Source organism: Homo sapiens, chromosome 4 (assembly GCF_000001405.40).
Source record: "Homo sapiens chromosome 4, GRCh38.p14 Primary Assembly".
NCBI classification, from domain to species: Eukaryota; Metazoa; Chordata; class Mammalia; order Primates; family Hominidae; genus Homo; species Homo sapiens.
In genome coordinates, this window is record NC_000004.12 from 168,646,498 (window position 1) to 168,650,151 (window position 3,654).

The 3,654-nt window shown below is 38.9% G+C and overlaps 1 protein-coding gene and 1 long non-coding RNA gene across 15 annotated transcripts in view; one reads left to right on the forward strand and one right to left on the reverse strand.

The window, feature by feature from the left end:
- Positions 1 to 3,654, forward strand: part of PALLD (palladin, cytoskeletal associated protein) — a 431,390-nt gene that overhangs the window by 149,446 nt on the left and 278,290 nt on the right. The window lies entirely within an intron of this gene.
- Positions 1,399 to 2,090, reverse strand: PALLD-AS1 (PALLD antisense RNA 1). The gene is made up of 2 exons (XR_001741449.3): positions 1,995 to 2,090; positions 1,399 to 1,847 (listed from the first exon to the last, which is right to left on the reverse strand). It is a non-coding gene; the product is annotated as a PALLD antisense RNA 1 (long non-coding RNA).

Genomic DNA, 3,654 nt, shown 5'->3' on the forward strand with positions numbered 1-3,654 from the left:
ACCCACCCCTGTGACATTCCTCTCTCCAGAACCAATCCTAACCCTCAAATGAAATATACTTAAAGTGGTCTCCAGGTATCACTTGTGAAATGGTGCACAGGAGGCATCCAAGAATGAATCAAGATCTGGCCCACAGCCACCACACAGCTTGGGGCCTCTGGTTTCCCCGTGGTATCAGTGGCATAAGATTAATTTCTATGGCTCCAAGCAATGATTACAGAAACATCCTATTTCTCTTTGCTACAAAATAGAGAATATCTTAGCCATGATGTCTTACACTATAAAATCTTAGAAGATGAGGATAGTGTCTAAGTCTCATCACTCAAGAATATAGCACTTCATGACATGTACCTTTATTTATACTTTTCTGGTAACAATATAGTTTTAAAATACTCAAGGCCTTTCTAAATAATGGTATAAATATGATATCTCAATCCTCAAAACTACCAACAAATTTAAGGTATTTATAACACATACAACCAATACTTATGCATAAATATTATAAAAACATGGCCTACCTCTCAATGTGCATAGCAAAAATAGTTTGGAAAAGAAAAAACAGAAATAAAAATTCCACCACTCAAAATAAAAAATAGTTATCTTTCCTTCTTCAACCAGTTTCAAAGATGCTACATTAACCATCCACTATGAAAGGGATCAAACATTTCAGCAGCCTTTTAAACCTAGAAGAAGTCCTTAAAAATGTAAAGATTAGACAGTAGAATATTTTCTCTGGCATTTAAGATTTTTGAAGGGTCTAGTTAGGATCTAGTAAGTTCTTCAGAAAGGTTAGGCTGACTATAAAGACAACACTGCAAAATTTAGAAGATTCTCTAGTTCACTTACTACAATGGACTGTGTTTTTTCTTAGAGATCAGGATTAATTATTAAAATATTTAAAGAAAAAGATGTTTCTAAGGCTGCTAGGAAGACAAATCATAACAGTAGATCCCAATAATAAGCCTATGTGTAAAACAGTCTCTTAAAAAAGAGGTGGCATGTGGCCGGGCGTGTAGCTCATGCCTGTAATCCCAGCACTTTGGGAGGCCAAGGCAGGCACGTCATCTGAGGTCAGGAGTTCGAGACCAGCCTGGCCAATATGGTGAAACCCCGTCTCTACTAAAAATACAAAAATTAGCTGGGCATGGTAGTGCACACCTGTAATCTCAGCTACTCCGGAGGCTGAGACAGAAGAATAGCTTGAACCCTGGAGGCGGAGGCAGCAGTGAGCGGAGATTGTGCCATTGTACTCCAGCCTGGGTGACAGAGCCCGACTCTGTCTCAAAAAAAAAAAAAAAAAAAAAAGAAGTGGCATGCATATTTAAAAGTAGTTACAAAGAAAGTCTTGGCAGTTTTTCAGAGCTCCCTTCATGTAATCACTCTATTACAGTGCACTCCTCAAGTTGAAAAGCTCCCATTTATTTAACATTTTTTTAAAGAATTAAATATTTTCCTTATTTATCCAATTTGCAAACGTAAAGCAAGGCTGCATCATCTCTCCTTTTTCCGCATCCTTCTTTCCGTCCACTAAGGTAGTTCTCTGGGACTGTTGACAGCTTCTGAAGGTGATTTGATGTGAACTCCCCCCTGACTCCTGGTTTGTCTGCTTCTTATAAAGAGATAGTATGCTCCAGAGAGCACCAGAGGCAGTTCTTACCCAGCAATCCCGGAAGCAATTTTCTTCTGCTTTTCTTACTCACCAGAGCCCTCCTGGAGGTTTCAAGCAAAGGAGCTGAGCAGTTTGCAGTAGCTACTAGATAGAGGTTCATAATGGAATAGCAGCTTCAGGTTTTTAATCCATCATTAGAAATAGTTGTTTTGCAACTTGAGAGAGAAAAAGTAGAAATCTATGGCATAATGAAGGGGGAAAAATGGGTCATGTTACTGTAGAGATAGATGCAAATTCTATATTATGTCATAAGTGAAAGCTTTTTCGGTCCATATGGGTATAAATTAATAAGAGAGAATGCTGTCAGCGAAGAAAGTGTAAGTACTTTGTCTGGAGAGTAAGAGACCGGCCAGTTAGTCCTAATAAATCCGAGGGTTTGGGGAGCCTCTTTTGAGATAGGTGATGCATTGCGCATTATTAGAGAATCTCTTGGCATGAGTACTTTTGCACCAAGCATCTGCTTTTAAGGTCTCTTCATGAATGTTCTTCTTATGTGCTGATATCTTTATGCTTACACAAACTTGGTGGAAGGCACTATTGTTGCATCATTAAATTACCTCACTGTATTCTACAACTACCCTACCTAATATGCTCCAATCACTCTTACTGTATTTTGTTTTCTTCATAACATTTCCCTGTCTGAAATTATTTTATTCATGTGGTATCATTTAAGTGCTTATTATCTCTCTCACCCTGCTCCCATCACCACTGGAGTAAAAGCTGTAAGTAGACACCTTGTCATCTTCTCCTGTATATGCAAGTTTCCATTTTGTTTCATAATTAGCTTCTCTCTCCTCCCAGCAAGGTTTTCAAGATCCAACCCAAAGACTGCTTAAGGAGTGGAACTTAGACTTCTTTTACTTCTTCAAGAGTCACTTCATGGATAAAAAGCATCCTGTTCTTGGGACTTTGACTCAGCAGAGCCAAGAACTTTCCTATAAGCTATTGCTTGGTTGTTAAGGAAGCACAACAGAATACCAGCCTGACGTGTCACATTCTGCATGCGCTCATTTATAATACAGTGTGGTATTTTTCACCTCCTATCTGCAGCAAGATGAGATAATCGCTGGCTGGTGTGAGTTTTTTTAGTATCTCTTTGCATCAATAGATCTAGTTTTCAGACTATATACTTAAGTTTATAAAACAATTGCTAACATTTGTTTTCTTTAATCAGATTCAATTTGATTCTTATTAAGACCATGTTTTAGAAAGCCCCCAATGGCCCTCATAATAGTGGGAAGTTTTAGAAACAAAGGCCAATATTATGAACACATTAATATATAACCCAGGTGTCATGGAAGTGCTCTCAAATAGGAAACGTGGAAGACATTAGTTGCCTGCATCCCAAGTCAGAGACTTATTTTCTTAATTTGCTTTCTGTGCCTCCACAATGGTCTTTTTCCTTAGCTTTGGAAAGAAATTATAACAGCCAGCTAACTTTATTGGGTAACATGCATCAAGCCCCATAGCAGAGGTTAGATATGCATTACCTTGTTTGCATAACAACCTTATGAGGAAGGTACTAATAAAATATGGGTATAAAAGACCTCCATAGTTAAGGAATGAGGAAATAATAATGCAAGTCTCTTTTCCTACAACATAATGGTCCTAAAACGTATGTATTTCTTTGCATCTTTTAAAATGCAGCATAAATGGGGTATTCTAATATCATTTTGTTTTTCTTCAGGTTTCTCTTTTGTACATTTTAATAAGTTTAAAATATATAAAGTGGCCAGGCATGGTGGCTCACGCCTGTAATCCCAGCACTTTGGGAGGCTGAGGCGGGCACCTGAGGTCAGGAGTTCGAGACTAGCCTGGCCAACATGGTGAAACCCCATCTCTACTAAAAGTACAAAAATTAACCAGGCATGGTGGTGGATGCTTGTAATCCCAGCTACTCAGGAGGCTGAGGCGGGAGAATTGCTTGAACCCAGGAGGCGGAGGTTGCAGTGAGCTGAGATCACACCACTGCACTCCAGCCTAGG